General features: G+C 41.3%; 1 protein-coding gene and 1 long non-coding RNA gene across 37 annotated transcripts in view, besides 3 other annotated features; one reads left to right on the forward strand and one right to left on the reverse strand.

Moving 5' to 3' along the window:
- The window catches only part of PRUNE2 (prune homolog 2 with BCH domain), a 294,739-nt gene that overhangs the window by 151,176 nt on the left and 116,669 nt on the right, over window positions 1-26,894 (reverse strand). The gene's annotated exons all lie outside the window — the stretch shown is intronic.
- PCA3 (prostate cancer associated 3) lies at window positions 1,885-25,018 on the forward strand. 3 transcript variants are annotated; one of them, NR_132312.2, is made up of 4 exons: window positions 1,887-2,004; window positions 20,117-20,281; window positions 21,154-21,336; window positions 21,565-25,018. It is a non-coding gene; the product is annotated as a prostate cancer associated 3 (long non-coding RNA). The 3 variants fall into 3 exon arrangements; NR_015342.2 differs by lacking the exon at window positions 20,117-20,281 and having other exon boundaries at window positions 1,885-2,004; NR_132313.1 differs by lacking the exon at window positions 20,117-20,281 and having other exon boundaries at window positions 1,885-2,004; window positions 21,289-21,336.
- Window positions 20,886-22,085: an enhancer, noted in NCBI's record as "CDK7 strongly-dependent group 2 enhancer chr9:79398353-79399552 (GRCh37/hg19 assembly coordinates)". NCBI's record gives its function as "activates an origin of replication core promoter dependent on BRD2, BRD4, P300/CBP, MED14 and CDK7 cofactors, with strong dependence on CDK7, by STARR-seq in HCT116 cells {active_cell/tissue: HCT116}" and the evidence as "EXISTENCE:reporter gene assay evidence [ECO:0000049][PMID:35650434]".
- Window positions 24,776-25,277: an enhancer, noted in NCBI's record as "H3K4me1 hESC enhancer chr9:79402243-79402744 (GRCh37/hg19 assembly coordinates)". NCBI's record gives its function as "activates a minimal SCP1, AML or CMV promoter by ChIP-STARR-seq in naive H9 embryonic stem cells {active_cell/tissue: H9 hESC(naive)}" and the evidence as "EXISTENCE:reporter gene assay evidence [ECO:0000049][PMID:30033119]".
- Window positions 25,278-25,777: an enhancer, noted in NCBI's record as "H3K4me1 hESC enhancer chr9:79402745-79403244 (GRCh37/hg19 assembly coordinates)". NCBI's record gives its function as "activates a minimal SCP1, AML or CMV promoter by ChIP-STARR-seq in naive H9 embryonic stem cells {active_cell/tissue: H9 hESC(naive)}" and the evidence as "EXISTENCE:reporter gene assay evidence [ECO:0000049][PMID:30033119]".

A 26,894-nucleotide genomic window follows, 5' to 3' on the forward strand; every position in this document is an offset into this window, starting at 1 on the left:
TACTCTTGCAGTAATTTTACCCCCAGCCCCCTGGACCATCCTTTTCAAACTCTCCAAACTCTCCACGTTTCTTTTTACATGTTCAAAATGCAGGCAGTGTAGAATGACTGTCTGTGGCTCCTCCAGTCCTAGCTCTTGTATGGAGGCGGAGGTCCCTACATACACGACCACATGAGATTGAGCTCCAGAGTCAGGCCCTTCGCCATGAGCATGGCTGTGGACACGTAAGGAGCCTCAGTGGCTCCACAACTTGGCAATCTTAATCCAAACAAACCAGGTAAAACGTTTTTAGTTGGACTCAAGATAAATCCCAGGCAGAGCAATCCTCAAAAGAAACCAGCAAACTGGATATTTGGTTTCTGATTTACAATTTTTTTAAAACAGACAAAATAGCTTCCTTCACTCCCCACTGTGTCTTTGGCTCCAACCTCATTGAATGGTTGCCATTTCTGAGACACATCCTCTACCGCAAACCTGCACTCCTCCCACCTCGTGCACCATCTCCCCTTCTAGCTCCATCTGGCAATGTGTACTTTTCCTCAAGTCCTGTGTCAAACGATGTGAAGACTGAGGTCTTCTTCTGGTCGGGGCAGCATTATAGCATCATGACAAAAAGCCCAGGTGCTGCCTGCACTGGAAGTCAAGTCAATTACTGGTCATGAGATCTTGAGCAAGTTACTTAATTTCAGTTGCCACATCCATAAAATGGGATCATAGCAGGACTACTGGTGTCACAGAGTTACGTGAGGTTTAAATAAGTTACCTTAAAGGACTTAGTACAGTACCTGGTATACTATGTGGCTTAAGTATTAATAGGCTTTGCAGTAAGTGTAGTCATCTAAGTGAGCCATAACAAGCATAGGCGTGCTTCTGGGAGTGCTCACCCCAAGTCTGAATTAGACGCAACTACTCTCTACTCTCCTGGAGAAAACATACTCGTAATACCACTTCAAACACAAGCTGGTGGTGTACTTGCCCAGTTCTACCAATGAACTGGGATGACACAAAAGTAATGAACAGATGAAGTTTCATATCCCCCGTCCCCAAGAGAGGATCTGGTGTCGTCTATTTAGCTTCCTTGCCTCTCCTGTGCTCTCTGAGGACTGAGAGATTAAAAGCCACGTTGGTGGATACTGCAGAAGAGCAGGTGGGGAGGAGAATGGTATGGCAGTGACAGGAAGTGCTGGGAGGCCCAATATGGAGAAGGAGAGGGGTAGTGGGGAAGAGGGAGTGGGATAAAGGGCATGGGGAAGCATGGGGAAGAGGGAGCTTTCTTCTGTGTTTAGACAGTGAGAGGTGCCCATGAGTCAATAAATAAAAGAGGAAAGGAAATTTAATGAGTTGCCATGGACTAAGCACTTCGATTGAGTTACACTGTTTGAAAGATATTAGTAAAGATGGGAACTCACATTTGGACAAGACTTCACTAGAGGAGCACCTTAGGAATTGACCTGTGGATCTCAACTTCGTTAGGGTTAAAAGATTATTTGTTGGGCAAGGGTAGGACCAATAACCTCATTCACAATGCATTCATTGATTCGTTGATTCACAGAGCAAATACTTCTGAACAACTCCTGTGTTTCTGGCACTGTTCTAGGCACCAGTGATATAGGAGCCAACAAGACAGACATGTCACTGCTCTCATGGAGCTGCATTTCAGTGCATGGAGGCAGAAAACAAACAAACAAATAAATAAATAAATAAATAAATAAGATAATTTTTAATAGCAACGTGTCAACATAGTGTGACGGGAAGGAGCATGATGAGACAGAAGGAAGGTTTAAACTGGGAAATCTGAGAAATGGTATGGTTGTATGTGGGTTGGCATTCTTGCATGATGGGAGTGGCCACCTGCTTTCATATTCTGAAGTCAGAGTGTTCCAGACAGAAGAAATAGCAAGTGCCGAGAAGCTGGCATCAGAAAAACAGAGGGGAGATTTGTGTGGCTGCAGCCGAGGGAGACCAGGAAGATCTGCATGGTGGGAAGGACCTGATGATACAGAGGTCTGTAGGCCATGGGAATGGGTTTGGAATTTTATTCAAAGAGCTATGGGAAGTGACTAGAAGGTTTAAAGTTGGGGAAGAGGTTTTGTGTTTCTGTTATATTTGTGTTTTATACAAATTACTCTGGTTGCTGTGTTGATAGGACAGCAGAAGGGTAGGAGCAGGGACACCAGTTAAGTTATTGCAATGGTTAAGGTGAGAGGTGGTGGCTGGGCCTAGGCCTTTTTGGAGTGAACAAGCTATTTGCTTGGCTTCCATGATCCTTCTCCCTCCACTGGAATGGAAGGTACTTGATATTAGAGATTTTTGTCTGTTTCATCACTACTGTAACCCCAATGTCTACAACAGACTCTGGCACATAGAAGACACTTGTTTAATGTTGCTGACTAACTATACTGAGAGAGAAGAATGATGCAGAGCAGATTTAGAGAAAAAGTCAAAGGTTCTGTTTAGCACATGTTAAATTTGAGATACCCATTAGATATTTAAATGGAGATATCAAGCAGGCAAGTTAGAGATATACGTTTTGAGTTCAGTAGCAGATGTACATTTGTTGGGGGCGTGACATTAACATATAACCACTTAGAGTGGACATGCAGTTAGAGAAAAGTCAATGAGCTGGAACCAAGCTGGGAATTCCAACATGTAGAAGTTAAACACAAGAGGAGGAGCCAGCAAAGGAAACAGAAACAGAGCTTCCAGCAGGTGGGGGGCATTTGGAAGAAAACGATGCCATAGAAGCCAAGATGAAATAGACATCAAGGAGAAGGAAGTAGTCAATTGTTTTGAATGCTATGAAGAAAGATAAGAATAGGTAAATAGTCCTTATATTTGATAACAGAGGTCACTAGTGATCTTGATGAGGGGTTTCAATAGAATGGTGGGATTATATACCTCCCTGGATTCAACTGAGGTAAGGAAGGCATACAGAATAGAGACAGGCACTATAAACAGCTCTCATAATTGCATTCTAGCAATTAGCACACTGTCTGATGGGGAGGTGGCTCAATCTTTCTTGCATAACTGAATGAATGAGTAAACTATCTATCCATCCATCTATCCATCCATCCCTCCACCCATCCTTCCCTCCATCCATCCATGGGGTTTGAGCCTTCAAATGTAGAAGGCACAGCCTTATCTAGTGAGAAGACATTTGGATTAGGAGTTAAGAGACAGAATCATACATCCACAGTCACTGTTTAGCTTTCTGAACTTGTCCAAACCAGTGCTTTTCTGGGACTCACTTTCCTTATCTATGAAATGGAGAGGTTAGTTTAGATAACCTCTAAGATCCAGCTTTAAAATTCTTGACTGAAGGCCTAACCTTTAGAAATATCTCGTTAGAGGCCAGACGCGGTGGCTCACGCCTATAATCCCAGTACTTTGGGAGGCCAAGGCAGGCTGATCACGAGGTCAAGAGATTGAGACCATCCTGGCCAACATGATGAAACCCCGTCTCTACTAAAAATACAAAAAAAATAGCCGCGCGTGGTGGCAGGCACCTGTAGTCCCAGCTACTTGGGAGGCTGAGGCAGGAGAATCGCTTGAACCCTGGAGGCGGAGGTTGCAGTGAGCCAAGATTGCGCCACTGCACTCTAGCCTGGGTGACAGAGCAAGACTCTGCCTCAAAAAAAAAAAAAAAACTCTTTAGAAATATACCAAAGTAAATGCAATATCATTTTTGATTTTTACAAACTAGCTTCAAGCAGAAAAGACAAAAGCTTCAGGGGATACCATATGTTCACTCCCCAGGCAAAGCCTATCTGTGTGGGATTAATGACAGCATTGAGTGGGTGGCTGTGTGCCTTGTGGGAGAATACGTTACTAATGGTCACTGGAAGAAAAGGAGTCAGCTTTCTCTTTTCTTATGTCTTTAACGATGCTTAACTCTCCCTTATTTAAAATAAAACACATATTAGATTCTGCATCTGAACCAACATTAACATTCCATTTCTTTCTGCTAAATTAACTTTCTTGGACAACTGGATCATGTTCATGGATAGTGCCTCTCCCATCCACTTTTTCTGGGAATCTTGCTTTCCTTCCATGTTTTGGTCCTTACATACCTCCCTCGTTTCATCCTGCGCCACTTCCCCCCAATCACAGAGGTCCAGTCACACTCGTCTTCTTCAAACATGTCAATTTTGCTCCTGCTTTAGGGCCTTAGGATTTGCCATTTCTTCAGCCTGAAATGTACAATCCCCAGATTTTTTCATGTGTAGCTTCTTATCACATAGGGAGTCCAAACATCACTTTCTCTGTGAGGGCTTTCTCTCCAAAGCACTGTTCTGCGGTCCAACCCTACCACTGTCACTGTCAACTCATACACAGGCATACACATACACAACGCATACACATGATCACTATTCAAAATGACCATTTTCCTTATTTATTGTTTATCATCTACCTCTCCCACCTCGCCACACCTTCCCCCCAAGGCGAAGGTAGGCTTCGTGAAATCTTAACCTTGCCTGTCTTATTCACTGCTGTATTCTGGTATAGCGTCTCCAACATACTTACTGATGAATAAATATCTGTTTAACAAATAAACTCTCTCTCCTCTACTGAAACTATTGTTGGCAGTCACCAAGGACCTATTCAAAACAGAATCTTTGGCCAGGCACTGTGGGTCACGCCTGTAATCCCAGCACTTTGGGAGGCCGAGGTGGGCAGATCACTTGAGGTCGGGAGTTCAAGACCGGCCTGACCAACATGGTGAAACCTCGTCTCTACTAAAAATACAAAATTATCTGGGCATGGTGGCACACGCCTGTAATCCCAGCTACTCGAGAGGCCGAGGCAGGAGAATAGCTTGAACTCGGGAGGCAGAGGTTGCAGTGAGACAAGATTGTGCCACTGCGCTCCAGCCTGGGCAAAAAGAGCAAAACTCTGTCTCAAAAAAAAAAAGAAAGAAAGAAAAAAGCACAGATTCTTTATTTTCCTTGCTTTCCACTTCTTCCTTGCCCTTGACTCCATTGATCACCTCTTTAAAAAGAAAAAGAACTATTTTCCAGAACCTTCGCTTCTGTGACTGCATGACACTACTCTCATGGTTGTTTCCCTACCTTCTTTGTTGACTTCTCATCTTCCTCCTCCCCTAACAGGAGGCACCTTAAAGCCTCATCTCTTGACCCTATTTTGTTTTAATACATATCGTGCATCTCTCGTGAATCTTTAAATGAATCCAGCCTGCCCAGCACAAGTCTATCCAGGGGTGTAAAAACCCAGCTGGAGGGAGTGCACACTGGCTCCTATCTTCTATCCGAACACTGTCCTTTTCGGTGTTTTCAGCATTACCCTTCCATGCCCACTATGGCTATTCTCATCTTCCCTGGCTTCCTAACCCTCTTGGTTCCTCACTTTGGGTGTAAAAGAGCAAGGACTGGAAGTATTAATAATTGTACATTCACATCTCTCTGATCTTCCCTGTTCTTTCTTCGATGATTTGGAAACTGCCCTCCAGCTATACGTGCATCACAGCGGCAGGTCAGAGGGAGTCCTGTCACCTCCCAGCCCCACCAATCCCTCCCTGGCCATCCCAGCACGGCTGCCTGGTGAGGAGGATCACATAAGTCTAATTCCCCTCCCCAGAAAGCTTGGCTATACCTTGCCCTTGAACTAGTACTTCCATGTCAATGATTTTCCTTTTTTTTTTGAGATGGATTCTCGCTCTGTCGCCCAGGCTGGAGTGCAGTGGTGCGATCTCAGCTCACTGCAACCTCCGCCTCCTGGGTTCAAACAATTCTCCTACCTCAGCCTCCCAAGTAGCTGGGATTACAGGCCTGCGCCACTGTGCCCAGTTAATTTTTGTATTTTTAGTAGTGACGGGGGTTCACCATGTTGGCCAAGCTGGTCTCAAACTCCTGACCTCAAGTGATCCTCCTGCCTTGGCCTGCTAAAGTGCTGGGATTACAGGCATGGGCTACTACTCCTGGCCCCATTTCAACAACTATCAAGTCTGTCTGCAGCCGCACCTAGAACGTTCTCTGGGTCTCTTATCTTTGGGTTGATATATATATGTATATGTATGTGTGTGTGTGTGTGTGTGTGTGTGTGTGTGTGTGTGTGTATATCCCTGCTGACTAGATCATCAACAATTTTGTCAAAGTTGAAGTCATCTCATAAAAAATTCACTTCAGAAAATAATTTATGGTTTACCTCACCTTAATCTGACCACTTTCTTTTGAATTTCTTACCACCCAAGTAATTGGAATCTTCTATGATTTAATCACAAATCACTGGACATTTGCATGGTATGAGACTCTGTATGGATTCTATGCTACATTAAAATAAAAAAGAAATTGTAAGTCTTTACTTTGCATAATTCCTACCACCAAAAACGCTGTACTTTATAAAAAATTTAAATTACAGTAGTAATAGATGCCTTGTTTTAACAAGTCAAACAAAGATATATAACTCGACCCTTTCCAGTCCTCTCAGCAGACCTTCTCAACCAATATTGACAGTTTAAGAGATATTCTTAGAATCTTTCATTATGGTACTCATATGCAGACTTTATCAACCAATATTGACAGTTTGAGAGATATTCTTAGAATCTTTCATTATGGTACTCATATATGGGTTGGATCTTATTGCTTTGCTTTTAAAATAAGAGATTATTATACTCTGGTTTCTCTTCAGATCGTATAAATCTCTTGCCCTTTAAAATATGAGATTAAATTATACACACTATTCTGCAGCTTAAAACAATTTTTTACTTCAATACACTGGGGACATCCCTCAGGGTCAATACATACAGAATAACTGAACTGTTTTCCAGTAGCTCCGTAGCACTTCTTTGCATGGCTGTATCATAATTGATTCAATCCTTCCTCTATTGATGGACATTAAGGTTGCTTTCCATTTCTTCCAAGTGAAAAATGTTGTTAAGAGTTTCGCTCTTCTTGCCCAGGCTGGAGTGCAATGGCACAATCTCGGCTCGTCGTCGCAACCTCCGCCCCCCGGGTTCAAGTGATTCTCCTGCCTCAGCCTCCCAAGTAGCTGGGATTACAGGCACGTGCCACCATGTCCGGCTAATTTTCTATTTTTAGTAGAGATGGGGTTTCTCCATGTTGGTCAGGCTGGACTCGAACTCCCGACATCAGGTGATCCGCCCGCCTCAGGCTCCCAAAGTGCTGAGATTACAGGCGTGAAACACTTTCAATATATGTCGTTATATTCTGATGCTTGTATTTCTGTAGGAGAGCTTATCAAAGTAGGCTTGCTGGATAAAAGGGAACGTGAACTAAAAACTTAAATCAACATTTCTGGATTACTTTCAAAAAAGCGGTAGCAATTAAAATTACCCTGAACATTCTGTCATAGTTTCTCAAAAATACTTTAAAATAAAAAAGTAAATGTTTATGTTTCAAATAATTAAATTGAAAACAATCCTGAAAATGTATTATAAAGATTAACTAGACAAGAGCAGTGAAGTCCATTTCTTAGGATTAAAAACATAAAATTTATTAGCATCATAACCTAATGCAGATATCCTCCCAGAATATCAGGACCTTGCCAATTTATTATTGTTAATGCACCAAAAATGTATTCACCACAATTCTTCAGTCACTAAAAACTCATTTTTGTTAATTTTACTATAACATTTATAGTAAAACTTTTTGACTTCATTTGAGGCAACATTCTTTGAAGATTATTTTTACCCTTACACTTGTTTTCATTTAATTAGAGTGTGTTTATTTTAGTTTCAACACAGGCATTTTACCTAAGTTTATTCTAAGTTTCTCTGGACTTTGAACCAAATACTTTTGGGAATGAGAATTCCTTGGGCATTAAAATATCAAGGATTTTTTTAAAGTGATAAAGTTTCTTTTTGAAAACACATTTTCAATCCAATCTATTGCCTTATTTTTAAAATATGTTAATGGCTTTTTCAAATGAATATATGATTCAAAAATTGAAAAGGACTCAGGATCTGAAATGTTATCCTTTCATGAAATTGACATTCATCTAAAATGGATTATGAAATATCTGGTGAAATATTATGGTAAAATTAAAATTAAAGCTAAAAGTAAACCAAATGAAACTAACATTTCAACCACAACAAAATCCTGCAAAACTGTTGAAAGCATTCTAGGTTTATTGCAACAATTTGCAATAAACTTAATTAAATGCTGATATGATATTTTCTTTAAAGTTTAAATTTTGTTTTTTAACCAAGAGCAGCTCAGTCAACCTAATAAAGAAAGTGAAGCCCAAAATCATTCCAAATAGCAAAGGGACAGTGGAGAAATCCAGAAATGACTGCTCATAATGGTCAGTATGATTAGTACCTCAACTTTGATAATATCTCAACTATCAATGCGAAAGTAAATTTGTGAAGGAAGATACCAAAAATTAAATTTCAAAAAATCTGAAAAAGAAGAATTAGTAATTGATAAACTAATAACTAACTAGAGACACTGTAACACTTACTAAATTTTTGCTACAAATTACCATAAATAGCAAGCTAAAGTAGATATGCTTCTTGAGAAATCGACAAAAAATTATCTAAAGATACTAAAAGATTAGCAAAACAGAAAACGCCACAGAAATGATTCTAAAGAAATATTATATAAATTATGATCATAGAAACTAGACATGATTTAAATATCATATAAATTATATTCCCATGTGAAAGGTTGCAATTTTGATAACTGGTGATCAAATATATGTTTTTGCATCTTAAATATATTTATAAGAAAATGGCCAAACTATATCCCTCAATGGTCATCAACTTAGGCATTTCTTTAATGCTGATACAATAACAAAATGAAAACGAATAAACTCAGAGTTACAGAGTCCTCAAAAGCTGTCAAATATGAATTATTTCTTCATGCACTTAATAAGTCCTACTATATGCTGGGCACTCTTCTAGAAGAAAGAGCTATGAAGCAGAGTCCCTGCTCAAGGAGACAGACACAAACTGCAGCAATGTGACATGAAGGCAGGTACAATGAGGAAGACTACGGTGAGTCGGGGGTCAGGGATTGCTGGAGTGGTAGGGTAATAATGGCTACTTTATCAAGGTGTTTGGGTAACACTAAGCAGAGTATTGAATGGCTGCAAATTGTACACATCAAAGCAGTTGTACACATTGAGTAAATGAATTTTCAAAAAATTCAGCAAAAGACAGAAAACAGGAAAAACCAAACCTAAATGTCATTCTGACTGAAGAGCAGAGCCAAGAATCTGCTACTGCTTTCTGTTTTTATTTCCAATTATTTCCCAGAGGGAGAGGCCACTATACTCCGTGTACTGCCCACAAAAGCCACCAACCACTCAGGTGTGGTTTGCAGACCACACCCTAAGTGAGAAAGGAAAAGCCACTCTGGCTTATTTGACAAAAAGCAGAAATGCTCACCTTGTGACAAGGAGGACACTAATGGCGTGGGACTCAGTGGGTTCATGAAGATGCCAAACACAAATCTGCACTACAGCAAATTTGCCTATACGAAGTCCGAGAGCAGAGTATGTGGCTCCACACAAACTACCTTTTAACCCAAGAATCCTGGAATTCCACTCCTGGCTTTAAACCAAGGTGTCAGCTGGGAAAGCCACCCTTCCGCCCTTGTAAGCTGAAGGAAAAGGGCTTTTTGTGTGTTGCTCGTTGTTTTTATCCTATCCTGGCACCAAAATGAACCACTTTTTGAGAAGACACCAGTGCCCACTACAGAGGGAAATAACAGAATGATCATAGCTTCTTAGCTACTGGTATGGTGTGGCTTTCTCAGGGATGGACTCTTCAATAGTTACAATTATTTTGTCAAAAATATTTATTTTAATTTTTTTTTTAAATGGCAATAGTCATTTTGGGGGCTATGCAACCACAGCAATACATAGGTTGGGGCATAACCAATCACTTGCTACGTAGTCTTGAAACTCTGGGAACTGTCTGTCTCCAAGCTCTAAGCAAACTCTTAAAGGAAACCAAAAATAACCTTCTGTAGTTTTGCAAAAGTCTCCTCCCATGGACAAGGTTAACTGCAACTTGTGAACATGGTAAATTATTTTCTTTCTTTTTTTTAGAGACAGGGTCTTGCTTGTCCCCCAGGCTGGAACGTAGTGGTGCAATCACAGTTCACTGTAGCCTTGGCCTCCCAGACTCAAGCAATCCACCCACCTCAGCCTCCCCAGTAGCTGGGACTATAGGCACACACGGCTGTATCCAGCTAATTGTTTAATTTTTTGTAGAGACAGAGCCTCACTATGTTGCCCAGGCTGGTCTCAAACTCCTGGCTTCAAGCAATCCTCCCATCTTGGCCTCCCACAGTGCTGCGATTAACAGGCATGAGCCACTGTACCCAGCCTGACTATGTAAATTATTGACAGACAGTCACACATGGATTTCAAAAAATTAAGTGGCTTTAACAGAAGTTGGGAAGCCCAACCAAGTCACTTTTTGCTCCTTTCCTTCAACAGGAAAAATGTATGTTTCCTCCAAAACCTTGCCACCTGGGAAAAGGAACAATTTGTATTTAGAAACAAAAATCAAATCAACAATATAATTTCTTACATTGAAATTTATAACCTGAGATCCTACCAGCTTCCCCTACTTTATATTACTTTAAGTTCATGCTTATTTCCCAAGTTAAATTTACTTCACCAAAGCGGTCTTTTGTTGTTGTTGGGATTCATCCAGCTTAAGGAAAAACTTTGAATTACTGTGTGCACTGACTGAGAAGGAATGCAATAAACAGGCCATGTTACTTCCAAATCCTTTTCATTGAAGAAATAGAAATTTCTGTAAACCCTGGGAGAATACCAGAATGAAGAATGGGAAGAAAGGTTGATTTATAGCGGACAATCTTTTCTTTATTCATGTTATCTGGCTTCCTGTAATACATTCATCCCGCAGTCACATCACATACACACTAGTACATCTTTTTTTTTTTTTTTTTTTTTTGAGACAGAGTCTCGCTCTTGTCGCCCAGGCTGGAGTGCAGTGGTGCAATCTTGGCTCACTGTAACCTCCACCTCCCGGGTTCAAGGGATTCTCCTGCCTTAGCCTCCTGAGTAGCTGGGATTACAGGCACCTGCCAGCAAGCCAGGCTAATTTTTGTACTTTTAGTACAGGAGGGGTTTTGCCATGTTGGCCAGGCTGGTCTCGAACTCCTGACCTCAGGTGATCCACCTGACTCGGCCTCCCAAAGTGCTGGGATTACAGGCGTGAGCCACCGCACCCGGCCAAGTACATCTTATGTAGGTGCAGTAATGTAAGAATGTTTTTTTCCCTGTTCTATGTTTCAACTGGTAAAGGGAATTCAACAAGGAAACTTACTTAGGAGACCCCATGTGTTAATTTTGGTAAAAATAACCCCACAGAAAAAAGGTGGAAAGTAATTGATGGAATAAAGCAGGTAGAGAAATGAGACTCCTTTATAAAGAGAAGGAGCAAGTGAAAACTAAACGAAATGACTCTTAGAAGACAGTAGATCTATTTTAAGTCTTCAGGGCTAGGAAAGGACAGGTATTTTTAAACTTAATTGGGTCATTTCAAATAATAATTAGATTATTTACTTGAAAACTTGGGCAGAGTAGAGGGAAAAGAATAGGTTTGATTCTTTTTTATTTTTTAATTTTAAAAAAATATTTTTTTGACACAGGGTCTCACTTTATCCCCCAGGCTGGAGTGCAGTGGCACAATCATAGCTCACTGCAGCCTCAACCTCCTAGGCTCAAGCGATCCTCCCACCTGACCCCCCTGAGTAAGTGGGACTACAGGTGTGCACCACCATGCCCAGTTAATTTTTTGTATTTTTTTGTAAAGATGGGGTTTCACCATGTTGCCCAGGCTGGTCTTGAACTCCTGAGCTCAAGCAATCCACCTGCTTTGGCCTCTCAAAGTGTTGGGATTAGAGGCATGAGCCATCGTTCCTGGCCTCCAGTTCAACCCTTTTTTTTTTTTTTTTTTTTTTTTTTTGAGATGGAGTCTCACTTCTTGCCCAGGCTAGAGTGCAGTGGCACGATCTCGGCTCACTGCAACCTCCACCTCCCAGATTCAAGCAATTCTCCTGTCTCAGCCTCCCAGGTAGCTGGGATTACAGGTGTATGTCATCATGCCCAGCTAATTTTTGTGCTTTTAGTAGAGATGGGGTTTCACCATATTGGTCAGGCTGGTCTCGAATTCCCGACCTCAGGTGATCCACCCACCTCGGCCTCCCAAAGTGCTGGGATTACAAGTGTGAGCCACTAGGCCCGACCCAATTCTTTAAACCAGAATAAAATAATGATTTAAAGAAAGTTAAATATGGAGGAAACAGGGGAGCTTTAGCACCTTTGAGTAGTGAAAAGATTGTAGATTTTAGAGACAGAAAAACATGAGTTCAAATTCTGTTACCAGCTATGAATTACTTTTTGTTGCTGAGCTTCTATTTCCTCATCTATGTAATGGGAACACTAATATCTACTACACAGATGAGTTATGAGAAACAAAAATAATTTACATAAAGTTCTGGGCACTCTGTAATCACTCAGTGAATTATAAAACACCATACTTCAAGTCCCAAAGAAGAAAAAAAATTTGCCCTGTTACTTGCTAAGCTGAACCGAATAGGACCAGACAGAAAATCAAGTTTATTTGGTCGGGGGGAAAGAAAGGACTTTTTCACTAACCATCTGTGTGAAACACTGGAGGAGAAACAAGAGTCTTAGAATTTGGGAGTATAAATGAAAACATCCAGCTAGAATGCATCTCTTTGCAATGACAAAGAGGAACAATATTCTCAGAGGACCATTTTGTACTTTGTCTTTTTTTTTTGAGACAAGGTCTCACTCTGTCTCCCAGCCTGGAGTGCAGTTGCACGATCACAGTTCACTGCAGCCTTGACCTTCCAGGCTCAAGCGATCCTCTCACCTTAGCCTCCAGAGTAGCTGGGACTACAGGCATGCACTACCATGCCCAGCTAATTTTTGTGGTTTTTTTTTGTAGAGATGGGATCTCGCTATGCTGCCCAGGCTAGTCACAAACTTCTCAGCTTAAGCAATCTGCCTGCCTCAGCCTCCCAAAGTGTTGGGATTACAGGTGTGAGCTACTCTGCCCAGCCTATTTTGTCATTTTAAAAATCATTTTCTCAGTCTGTCCATATTTCTTCTCTTCAGGTATGCAAGGAATGTTATCTCTTTACATTTGCCCTAGAACTCCTCAAATTTTCTTGGATGTGAAAATAGTTGTACATCATCCCATTTCAGGCAAATTCTCTTGGGCCTTACCTCTCCCAGAAAAAGCACAAGGATTGCTCACCCGGCCTTCATGCCGGCTATGCAGGCCCATTTCTAACACATCCTTCTCTAGCCTTTAGCTCGGACCAACACCAAGTACCACCATTTCTATAACTTCCATTACTCCCCTCCTCCTATGACTACACATCCCTAAACCTAATTCCACTCTTCTCTATTTCCTTCCAAAAAATTCCAGCATTTTCTGGTGTGAGATTTGGGAGGGATAGGAATAAGAAAGAACACTGATACTACTTCTAAGCATCCCTTCTTTATAACTACAAAAGACAATCTCACGTGCACAGAGTAATCAACTCATGAGTAAATATTTAACATTTCAGTAAAGACAGTAAGCACAAATGAAATTTTTTAAATTTTTGTAAATTTTAGGGGGTACAAGTGCAGTTTTGTTACATGGATATTGAGTAGTGGTGAAGTCTGAGCTTTTAGTGTAGCCATCACCTGAATAGCAGACATTGTACCCAATGGGTAATTTTTCATTCCTTACCACCCTCCCGCCTTCCCACCTTTTGGACTCTCCGATGTTATTATTTCACTCTCTGTGTCCATGTGTACACACTGTTTAGCCCCCACTTACAAGTGAGACCATGTGGTATCTGATTTTCCATTTTTGAATTATTTCACATAGGATAATGATCTCCAGTTCCATCCATATTGCTGCAAAAGCTGAGTAGTATATCACGGTATACATTTACACCACATTTTCTTTTTTTTTTTCTTTTTTCTTTTTTTTTTTTTTTTGAGATGAGTCTCGCTCTGTTGCCCAAATTGGAGTGCAGTGCACAATCTCGGCTCACTGCAACATCCGCCTCCCGAGTTCAAGCAATTCTCCTGCCTCAGCCTCCTAAGTAGCTAGGATTACAGGTGCCCGCCACTATGCCTAGCTAGTATTTCTAGTTTTAGTAGAGATGGGGTTTCACCATGTTGGCCAGGCTGATCTCGAACTCCTAACCTCAAATGATCCACCCACCTCAGCCTCCCAAAGTGCTGGGATTAAAAGTTATGAGCCACTGTGTCCAGCCAGCAGTTTTTTTTTTTTTTGTATGTTTGAAGATACATGAAGCTTTCTCTTGAGTTTCTTTCTCATTACCAAAACACATACACACACACACACACACACACACACACACACACACACACACACACACACACAAAGGGCCTGGACCTTTCTTCCACTCAGCGGAGATTCTCGGCACTCCTAAACTGTTCCTCTTGGGTTGGGTTCCCACATCTGCCACTGCACCAATGCCATCAGGGTAGCTTCCTCTTGGGCCCTTCTTTCTCCCCTGCCCCATAGCCCTTGAGGTTGTATATTGCTGAGAGATGATGTTGTTTGAAGGAGAGAAGTGGGGGAGGGCAGAGAAGGGAAGAAATGCAATGACCCAAAGCATGTGAAACTGCTAGGGACAAAGGGTAAGAAAGACCATTCCAGGATTCCACAATGAAGTAGGAGAGGGGTGCCAACCTCAGTTTTAGTAGGGAGGCTTCTCAGACTGCCCTGTTCTCAACAGTGGGGAAAAAGTCTTCTGAGAAAGAATATAATAAGCACAGGAATGGTGGGAAGGCAGAAAATCGAAGTAAGCAGGAGCACTGGCCAGCCATGCCCACCATGCTCTGTAAAATGCTATCCCAGGCACAGAGCTCTGAGCTCAGCACACAGATGTCACTCCATACAGTTTGCTGGCTGACTGAAGAAATGAATTTCAGGGGCAAGGACTCCTTTGCGCCTTCCCAAATGTATTCATTTATTCAATTCAATAAATATTTGTTAGTCCCAATTTATGCAAGGCATTCTTGGGGATACAGTATTAAATAAAACAGACAAAAATCCCTACCCTCGTGAAAGTCACATTTCAATGCTGGTGAAACACAATACATATATAAACAAGTAGACATGTTATATGTCAATGGTTGATGGGGCAGTGCAGAAAAATCAAACAGGATAAGGTGGATAGAGAATATCAGGGGAAAGGGAAGTATTATTTTATATAAGATGGTCAGGGAAGATGTCACCATTTACATGACATTTGAGCAGAGAATTGAAATAAGTTCAGGGGGCTAACTATGCAGGTATCTAGGGAAACTGTTTTCTAGTCAGAGAGGGGACAGCAGGTACAAAGTCCCTGAGGCAAAAGCATGCTTGCTGTGTTCTAGGAAAAGCAAGGAAGACAGCATGTCTATAGCAGTGGGAGGTGGAAGGATAATAAACAGTAGGTGAGGTTAGAGGGGACCAAATCATGTATTTTCCATCCAGAGGTTCCCAACCTTGGCTGCACATTAGATTTATTCTAAGGAGCTTTTAAAAAATACCAATGACTGGGTCCCAGCCTAGAGTGATTAAATCAGAATCTCTGGAGGTAGACTTGAGAATCTGATGTTTGCAAGTTTCCTAGGCAAGTCAAGGCTGAGGAAGACTGCTGCAGGCCATTGTAAGAGCCAGGCGTTGATCTCATTCAACCTTTCCCTCAGCTCTTCTAGAGACAGCCAGCATTCTCTTATGGCACAAATACAGCCTTTCACCCTCACAGAAAGACACAGGACAACAAATTCAATAAATTAATTCACTGGCATGGATGATTTTCTCAGACTAATTGTTTCCAGTTTGATAGGAGACAATTAAAGGCTGGAAGGCACTGGATGCCTGATGATGAAGTGGACTTTCAAACTGGGGCACTACTGAAACGATGGGATGGCCAGAGACACAGGAGATCAGTTGGAGCAAGCTCAATAACAAAGTGGTTCAACGAGGACTTGGAATTGCATGGAGCTGGAGCTGAAGTTTAGCCCAATTGTTTACTAGTTGAGTGAATGTGGATGATTGGATGATCATTTCTCATCTCTGAGCCTCAGGTTCCCCATCCATAAAATGGGATACACAGTATGATCTATAAAGTGGGATATAGTATGATCTACTTCACTGGGTTATTTGAAGGATGAATTGAGATAATTTATTTCAGGTGCCTAGAACAATGCCCAGATTAGTACATTTGGTGGAACTGAGAAATGGCATAACACCAAATTTAATATATGTCAGATGTTACTATGATTATCATTCAATCTCATAGTTTTGTCATGGCCCAATTTATCCTCACTTGTGCCTCAACAAATTGAACTGTTAACAAAGGAATCTCTGGTCCTGGGTAATGGCTGAGCACCACTGAGCATTTCCATTCCAGTTGGCTTCTTGGGTTTGCTAGCTGCATCACTAGTCATCTTAAATAAATGAAGTTTTAACATTTCTCCAGTGATTTTTTTATCTCACCTTTGAAGATACTATGTTATGTGATTAAATAAAGAACTTGAGAAGAACAGGTTTCATTAAACATAAAATCAATGTAGACGCAAATTTTCTGGATGGGCAATACTTATGTTCACAGGAAATGCTTTAAAATATGCAGAAGATAATTAAATGGCAATGGACAAAGTGAAAAACTTAGACTTTTTTTTTTTTTTGGAAGTATCTGGATGTTCCTTAGTCACTTAAAGGAGAACTGAAAAATAGCAGTGAGTTCCACATAATCCAACCTGTGAGATTAAGGCTCTTTGTGGGGAAGGACAAAGATCTGTAAATTTACAGTTTCCTTCCAAAGCCAACGTCGAATTTTGAAACATATCAAAGCTCTTCTTCAAGACAAATAATCTATAGTACATCTTTCTTATGGGATGCACTTATGAAAAATGGTGGCTGTCAACATCTAGTCACTTTAGCTCTCAAAATGGTTCATTTTAAGAGAAAGTTTTAGAATCTCATATTTATTCCTGTGGAAGGACAGCATTGTGGCTTGGACTTTATAAGGTCTTTATTCAACTAAATAGGTAAAGAAACCTCCATGACAGGAATCTGAAACATTGTCCCTGGTGCTCATAAATTCTCCACTGTATTGTCTGAAATGACTTATCTCAGTCCTGACTGTGGGCTCAGATTTACTGTACAGTTCATCAACTTCTCAGCATGATGGATAATGAATGTTTCATTTACATCGCTAATTGCCAAGCCATGGTTCCTGCAACCTTTAACCCGTATGCTTTGTCCCATTATCACCATATGTCAATATAATTGCATTTAACATTCCAAATGATAAACTTTCCTCTATACAGAGAAATATTTTTCACAAAGAAATCGCATAAGGGCTGCTGGTAAAATATAAGTCTATTACAGGAAATGACAGGGATTCAACTAGAAATATAGGAAGATTCTCGTAACTAGTAAAATCCATCGTCAGACAAGGACCCTTGATTTCATATGTAGGAAAAATACTGGTATTTTCTTAAGGATTTGTCTTTGTTGCCTTTTAATTGAACAAATGCATAAAAAGAGATTCCTAAAGTAGTGCAACTAAACTTTCAGGCCTATGTAAGATCCAAGAAGTACATATTTTTTAAAACTGGTTAGCGATAGCTACATGACCCAATTATATTTTCTATATTTATTTGATTATCAGCCAGTAAACTCATAATGAAGCAGCTGCGCACTCCCCCAACAATTGAGAATTGAACAAATTTCCAGAGAGAAGTGAAAAATATCAAAAATTAAAATCCTAAACTTGAAGACAAGTTGAGAGACCATTTAGTCTGGCCACCTGTATCCAAGATTCATTTAAAACCAAGCAGCGGCCAGGCACGATGGCTCACGCCTGTAATCCCAGCACTTTGGGAGGCCGAGGCGGGCGGATCACGAGGCCAGGAGATCAAGACCATCCTGGCTAACACAGTGAAACCCTGTTTCTAATAAAAAAAAATACAAAAAATTAGCCAGGCATGGTGGCGGGTGCCTGTAGTCCCAGCTACTCGGGAGGCTGAGGCAGGAGAATGGCGTGAACCCAGGAGGCAGAGCTTGCAGTGAGCTGAGATCGCCCCACTGCACTCCAGCCTGGGCGACAGAGCAAGACTCCGTCTCAAAAACAAACAAACAAACAAACAAACAAAAACAAGCAGCAAGAGGGTTTTGTTTTTGTTTTTGTTTTTGTTTTCAGATGTGGTAGGTGTTTCCCACAAAGACAGCTACTGAGAACCAATGAGGAGCCAGCTCCTCCATCGTATCGGGAGATGCCCAGGTGGGGATCTGCCCAGGACCACGCAGGCTACGCTGCAACCTAGGGTGTGCCTGCAACCCTCATCCCCGTGTGTTTCCCATCTGAGAAAGTGGTCTAGGACATCCACCAAGTTTTTATGCTACGTACCTGAGAATAATCCATGACATTTTTTCCTCCCTAGTCCCCATAGCCAGTCCATCAACACATCCTATTGGTTATTACTTAAATAAATTAGATATATTAAATATCTATAAAAATGTATCTTGAATTTTTCTACTACATTTTGACTGCCCCCATCCTACTTCAAACCATGGTCACCTCTCCCATGGTCTATGAAGGCAGCCGCTAACCCATCTCTTTATTTGCATTGTTACCTGCTTTCCATTAACTCTTTGCCACATCCCTATCCTTTTTATAATCCTCCAGTGGCTTCCCTTGAACTTAAAATAAAGTCTGAAGTGTTCACTCTGGCCTGGGAGGGCTTGAAGGATCTGATCCCACCACCTCTCCAGCCATGCCACTCCCTCCCCTACACTCACTATGACACATGCAGTTTCTAATGAATTTTCTTTCAGTTTCCTGAATGTGCCGACCTATTTCCCACTTCAGAGCCTTTGCACTGCTGTTCCCTTTGCCTGGAATGCTCTTACCCCTAGTCCTTTCCTGGCCTATATTGTATATGCTTGGTTTATAAACTTAAAAATTACTTTCTTTGGAGAACTTACACACCTCCCTATCTAATGTAAAATAGGTTATATACATTTTCTTATAACAGCATCCAATCATTTTCTTCATAGCACTTAAATTAGTTTGAAATCTACATTTATATGCATGATTACTTGTTTAATGTCTTGCTTCCTGACTAAACTGAAAGCTCCAAGAGGATAAGAATTATGTGTATTTTAGTTCCTTATGTTCCTCGTACCTAGCACATAGCATATAGTGTTGGTGAATGAGTTAACGGTGAATGTCTTGGTATTTCACCTTTCATCCTGCTGGACTCTAATTTCCTATAACCAACGTGTACAGCAAAATGAATGGAGATGTTGGAGTCAGAATACAGGTAGGCAAGGTAATCAGAGACATAGAAAGCATTGGGAAAGCCTGGCCGGGCGCGGTGGCTCACGCCTGTAATCCCAGCACTTTGGGAGGCCGAAGCAGGTGGATCATGAGGTCAGGAGATTGAGACCATCCTGGCTAACACGGTGAAACCCCATCTCTACTAAAAATACAAAAAATTAGCCCAGCGTGGTGGTGGGCACCTGTAGTCCCAGCTACTGGGGAGGCTGAGGCAGGAGAATGGCATGAACCCGGGAGGTGGAGCTTGCAGTGAGCCAAGATGGTGCCACTGCACTCCAGCCTGGGTGACAAAGCGAGACTCCATCTCAAAAAAAGAAAAAAAAGAAAGCATTGGGAAAGCCTAAATGGTCTACAGGCCACTTGGAAGAGAAGTGACACAACTCTCAGAAAGGGAAAGAATGAATGAATGAAAGAATGTGCTTTCTGGGGAGGAACAGTCAGCATTTTTGATAATTTCTGAGAGGCAGGTCAGTGGAGTAGTTAAGACCATGAACGCTAGGGCCAGATTCTGCTTCTTCATATTTTTACAGCCTTGGGAAAGTTATTCTCTCTGTGCCACACTTTGTTTATCTGAAACATGAAGACAACTACAGCATCTTCTTTACAGAGTTCTTCTAAAAATTAAATGAGTTAATTTTTGTAAAATCCTTCAAAGAGTCCCAGCCATATGTTAAGTTCCATGTAAATACTTTGCTAATAAAAATAAAATTTTGGAGTTATAAGCGCAGAGTTTCTTGGATAATACTGTTCTATGTCCTAAGGAATTACAACACATATACTTAGTGTTTCAATGAACACCAAGATAAATAAGTGAAGAGCTAGTCCGCTGTGAGTCTCCTCAGTGACACAGGGCTGGATCACCATCGACGGCACTTTCTGAGTACTCAGTGCAGCAAAGAAAGACTACAGACATCTCAATGGCAGGGGTGAGTTACATGGTAGAACGAAGAATAGACCAGAAGCCAGAAGTGCTGGCCTTTAACCATATACCTGCTATTCGCTAGCTGTGTACCCTCTGCAAATGTCCTGGGTCTTAGATTGGTGTCTATGAATTAGACAATCTTTAAGATCTCTTCTAGCCTCCCCCATGTTACGTGTCATTTTCCTTAGGTTTCTTTTAAAGTGCCCAAAACAGTCCACATAGTAGGTATTGTGGTGATTAAACAGAAAGGCACTGAACCACAAAGCAGACACTTGATTAACATCAGTTGTATCTGACTATGCCTTTTTTTGTTTGTTTGTTTTTTGGAAACAGAGTTCCACTCTGTCGCCCAGGTTCGAGTGCAATGGCACAATTACAGCTCACTGCAACCTCCGCCTCCCATGTTCCAGCAATTCTCCTGCCTCAGCCTCCCAAGTAGCTGGGATTACAGGCATGCACCAGCACGCCCAGCTAATTTTTGTATTTTTAGTAGAGATGGGGTTTCACCATATTGGCCAGGCTGGTCTTGAACTCCTGACCTCAGGTGACCCACCTGCCTCAGCCTCCCAAAGTGCTGGGATTACAGGTGTGAGCCACTGCTCCCCAAGAAGTCATATGACCTGTGGGATCTCTAGAGGGGACCTCAAGAGAATGGTGTGTGTCAGGCACTGCACTAGTGACTTTATGTAGATTGCTTCATTTGTTCCTGCCAACAGCCCACTGAAATAAGTATTAAAATTCTGTGCCCAGTGAAGAAACAGAGAGGGTGTTTGTGATGCTCGGAAACCAATAATATTGTGTGTAGCTCTCAACTCAAGTTCAGGGTATGCTGACACCTTGCCATTTGTCTCCTCAAATGGTCGTATGTATTTCCAGGTGAGAAATAAGAAAGGCTGCTGACTTTACCATCTGAGGCCACACATCTGCTGAAATGGAGATAATTAACATCACTAGAAACAGCAAGATGACAATATAATGTCTAAGTAGTGACATGTTTTTGCACATTTCCAGCCCCTTTAAATATCCACACACACAGGAAGCACAAAAGGAAGCACAGAGGTAAGTGCTTTATAAAGCACTCAATTTCTACTCAGAAATTTTTGATGGCCTTAAGTTCCTCTACTCGTTTCTATCCTTCCTACTCACTGTCCTCCCGGAATCCACTACCGATTTTCTATTTCTTGCCTCGTATTGTCTGACTGGCTCACTTGGATTTATCCTCACGGAGTCTGGATTTTCTACCCGGGCTCACCTCCGTCCCTCCATATTTGTCCTCCACTTTCACAGATCCCTGGGAGAAATGCCCGGCCGCCATCTTGGGTCATCGATGAGCCTCGCCCTGTGCCTGGTCCCGCTTGTGAGGGAAGGACATTAGAAAATGAATTGATGTGTTCCTTAAAGGATGGGCAGGAAAACAGATCCTGTTGTGGATATTTATTTGAACGGGATTACAGATTTGAAATGAAGTCACAAAGTGAGCATTACCAATGAGAGGAAAACAGACGAGAAAATCTTGATGGCTTCACAAGACATGCAACAAACAAAATGGAATACTGTGATGACATGAGGCAGCCAAGCTGGGGAGGAGATAACCACGGGGCAGAGGGTCAGGATTCTGGCCCTGCTGCCTAAACTGTGCGTTCATAACCAAATCATTTCATATTTCTAACCCTCAAAACAAAGCTGTTGTAATATCTGATCTCTACGGTTCCTTCTGGGCCCAACATTCTCCATATATCCAGCCACACTCATTTTTAATATTTAGTTCCCAGATCTGTACTGTGACCTTTCTACACTGTAGAATAACATTACTCATTTTGTTCAAAGACCCTTCGTGTTGCTGCCTAATATGTAGCTGACTGTTTTTCCTAAGGAGTGTTCTGGCCCAGGGGATCTGTGAACAGGCTGGGAAGCATCTCAAGATCTTTCCAGGGTTATACTTACTAGCACACAGCATGATCATTACGGAGTGAATTATCTAATCAACATCATCCTCAGTGTCTTTGCCCATACTGAAATTCATTTCCCACTTTTGTGCCCATTCTCAAGACCTCAAAATGTCATTCCATTAATATCACAGGATTAACTTTTTTTTTTAACCTGGAAGAATTCAATGTTACATGCAGCTATGGGAATTTAATTACATATTTTGTTTTCCAGTGCAAAGATGACTAAGTCCTTTATCCCTCCCCTTTGTTTGATTTTTTTTCCAGTATAAAGTTAAAATGCTTAGCCTTGTACTGAGGCTGTATACAGCCACAGCCTCTCCCCATCCCTCCAGCCTTATCTGTCATCACCATCAACCCCTCCCATGCACCTAAACAAAATCTAACTTGTAATTCCTTGAACATGTCAGGCATACATTATTCCTTCTGCCTGAGAAGCTCTTCCTTGTCTCTTAAATCTAGAATGATGTAAAGTTTTGAATAAGTTGACTATCTTACTTCATGCAAAGAAGGGACACATATGAGATTCATCATCACATGAGACAGCAAATACTAAAAGTGTAATTTGATTATAAGAGTTTAGATAAATATATGAAATGCAAGAGCCACAGAGGGAATGTTTATGGGGCACGTTTGTAAGCCTGGGATGTGAAGCAAAGGCAGGGAACCTCATAGTATCTTATATAATATACTTCATTTCTCTATCTCTATCACAATATCCAACAAGCTTTTCACAGAATTCATGCAGTGCAAATCCCCAAAGGTAACCTTTATCCATTTCATGGTGAGTGCGCTTTAGAATTTTGGCAAATCATACTGGTCACTTATCTCAACTTTGAGATGTGTTTGTCCTTGTAGTTAATTGAAAGAAATAGGGCACTCTTGTGAGCCACTTTAGGGTTCACTCCTGGCAATAAAGAATTTACAAAGAGCTACTCAGGACCAGTTGTTAAGAGCTCTGTGTGTGTGTGTGTGTGTGTGAGTGTACATGCCAAAGTGTGCCTCTCTCTCTTTGACCCATTATTTCAGACTTAAAAACAAGCATGTTTTCAAATGGCACTATGAGCTGCCAATGATGTATCACCACCATATCTCATTATTCTCCAGTAAATGTGATAATAATGTCATCTGTTAACATAAAAAAAGTTTGACTTCACAAAAGCAGCTGGAAATGGACAACCACAATATGCATAAATCTAACTCCTACCATCAGCTACACACTGCTTGACATATATTGTTAGAAGCACCTCGCATTTGTGGGTTCTCTTAAGCAAAATACTTGCATTAGGTCTCAGCTGGGGCTGTGCATCAGGCGGTTTGAGAAATATTCAATTCTCAGCAGAAGCCAGAATTTGAATTCCCTCATCTTTTAGGAATCATTTACCAGGTTTGGAGAGGATTCAGACAGCTCAGGTGCTTTCACTAATGTCTCTGAACTTCTGTCCCTCTTTGTGTTCATGGATAGTCCAATAAATAATGTTATCTTTGAACTGATGCTCATAGGAGAGAATATAAGAACTCTGAGTGATATCAACATTAGGGATTCAAAGAAATATTAGATTTAAGCTCACACTGGTCAAAAGGAACCAAGATACAAAGAACTCTGAGCTGTCATCGTCCCCATCTCTGTGAGCCACAACCAACAGCAGGACCCAACGCATGTCTGAGATCCTTAAATCAAGGAAACCAGTGTCATGAGTTGAATTCTCCTATTATGGATGCTAGCTTCTGGCCATCTCTGGCTCTCCTCTTGACACATATTAGCTTCTAGCCTTTGCTTCCACGACTTTTATCTTTTCTCCAACACATCGCTTACCAATCCTCTCTCTGCTCTGTTGCTTTGGACTTCCCCACAAGAATTTCAACGACTCTCAAGTCTTTTCTTCCATCCCCACCACTAACCTGAATGCCTAGACCCTTATTTTTATTAATTTCCAATAGATGCTGCCTATGGGCTATATTGCTTTAGATGAACATTAGATATTTAAAGCTCAAGAGGTTCAAAATCCAACTCATTATCTTCTCTTTCTTTCACCTCCCTGCTCCTCTCCCTATATTACTGATTGCACTGAACAGCATGGTCCCCAATGTAGCCATGCAAATGAGAAACCCAGTGGCTCCTTGTGGTACATGCATGCAAGACTGCTGAAGCCAGAAGGATGACTGATTACGCCTCATGGGTGGAGGGGACCACTCCTGGGCCTTCGTGATTGTCAGGAGCAAGACCTGAGATGCTCCCTGCCTTCAGTGTCCTCTGCATCTCCCCTTTCTAATGAAGATCCATAGAATTTGCTACATTTGAGAATTCCAATTAGGAACTCACATGTTTTATCTGCCCTATCAATTTTTTAAACTTGCTGAAAATTAAGTTTTTTCAAAATCTGTCCTTGTAAATTACTTTTTCTTACAGTGTCTTGGCATACTATATCAACTTTGATTCTTTGTTACAACTTTTCTTACTCTTTTATCACCAAAGTGGCTTTTATTCTCTTTATTATTATTATTTTCTTTTACTACTATATTACGTTGTTATTATTTTGTTCTCTATAGTATCAATTTATTTGATTTAGTTTCAATTTATTTTTATTGCTGACTTTTAAAATAAGTGATTCGGGGGGTGGGAGAACAGGGGAGGGAGAGCATTAGGACAAATACCTAATGCATGTGGGACTTAAAACCTAGATGATGGGTTGATAGGTGCAGCAAACCACTATGGCACACGTATACCTGTGTAACAAACCTACACATTCTGCACATGTATCCCAGAACGTAAAGTAAAATTTAAAAAAAAGTGATCCTTTGCCATGTTTGTTAGCCTTTTTCTACATACAGTAGTTCACTTTTCCACTTATAAATTTATTTTTTTAAGGTAGAAAATTGCACACATCGCACATGCTCATCCCTTTGTCTCCATAGCCAAAGACACTGCTTTGCTCCAGTCCTGCAGCAGCTTCAACCTGGCCTGTTAATAGCAATGGCCTCCACGATGCTTTCATGGTCACTAGACAGTCCTCTCCAATCCCGCCTCCCACTGCCCACAGGAGAAAGCCCCGTCTAGTTGCACAGTGCCGAAGGCCTTAGAGCCCAGCTCCTCCCGACTTCCTCTCCTGTGACCGCAGCTTCCGGCCCTGTCTGTGCTGCCGCAGCTTCCCACATCTCCATGGTCACCAAGCGTTCCTTCCCACACATGGCCTCGGAACATTCCCTGTCTAGGATGCCTTTTCCCCCTTTCTTCCACCTAGCTTCTCCATCCTTTAAGATTCGGCTCAAGAGTCCCTGACTTCTGAAGCCATTACCAGCAACTAAAGTTCTTTGTGCCCTCACCTGGTTTTCTAATATTTGTCAATAGACTATGAGAGCCTTATAACTCACAGGACCTATTTCTTTGAAAGATTTGTGTCTCCTAAAGACATGGCATTTCCTAGGTAATAATTTCCCTAGTTTTACTGAAGACATAAGAGTCAAAACACCATCAAGCAACCATCAGATGTTAACTCACCAAACAGATATATTCTAGTCGAAAGAAACATCTCTTACCGTGGCTAGAGTTACCACAAGTAAATGATTGTGAATTCAGTTGATAGTTATTATATATACTGGACATTAAACTCACAAACCACTACTTTCCTCTTTGTAAACTTCTTAAGGTGCACTGTAGCACAGTGGTCCCAGGCATGCATTTGGAGCCAGAGTTCCTGGATTGAAAGGCGTCTCTATTCACCAGCCATGTGCCCTTGGGGAAAAGCTCAATCCTGCTCATCTGTAAAATGGGGGTGTTGACAACAATGACAGTGTGTGGCAAGTATTGAATAAATGCACAAAGAGCACTTAAAGCAGTGCTTGACACAACTTAAACATTTGAAATTTGTTCATTATCATCACTATTCCAATTTGACAATGAAGACAACCTGAGTGGGGCCACATCTGGTGACTGGAGATGGCAGAGATCACAAATCTTATAAGAAGAGAGAGAGACTCATATTTGCAAGTAGAGAGAAACTAATTAATTCTTGACACCTGGTTAGCACTCAAAACAGGTCTGGTTCATGGAATTAAATGAGTCAGGTCCCAATCTGTGTCTCTGTTTTATTAATGTGAATCTCAGGAAAGGGTATGTATATAAGCTTCAAGATGGAGTTAAGGTAGCTCTATCCTGGCTGTGCCTTGTTAGGAAGAGCAAGTATCATACAAACTCTCAAGGATCCTTCTCTCCCAGGGAAGACTCGTGGGAGGGAGGGCCTAGTAGGAGCTTGAGGTATTTCCTCATAATTTTCTTCAGCCTCCACCCTCATATTTTCAGATGGACAATAGATATGTTTACATTTTTGTGAAAAGTACTTTGCATGCACAGCTTCAAGACAAGCCCCTTCAAGTATTTATATTGCCATCTTGAGCCAATATAAAAATCAAGAAACTTCACCTTCCAGATAATTCCTCCTGCTTTGATAGTGTTTTACCTGTGACGATGGGCTTCATATCCACTGACCTTTCAAACATCATGACTCTTTGATGTAACCATAGCAATCACTATTATTCCCATTTTACAAAAGAAGAAATGGGGCTTGAAGAGGTTTTGACTTGCTGAAGTTTATGGCACTAGTAGATCATGGAGCCAAGACTCGACTCCCAGACTGTAAATCTCTCATCCAGTGGTCTTCTCACTGTATCCAG

The sequence above is a fragment of the Homo sapiens genome, chromosome 9 (genome assembly GCF_000001405.40).
Source record: "Homo sapiens chromosome 9, GRCh38.p14 Primary Assembly".
NCBI lineage: Eukaryota > Metazoa > Chordata > Mammalia > Primates > Hominidae > Homo > Homo sapiens.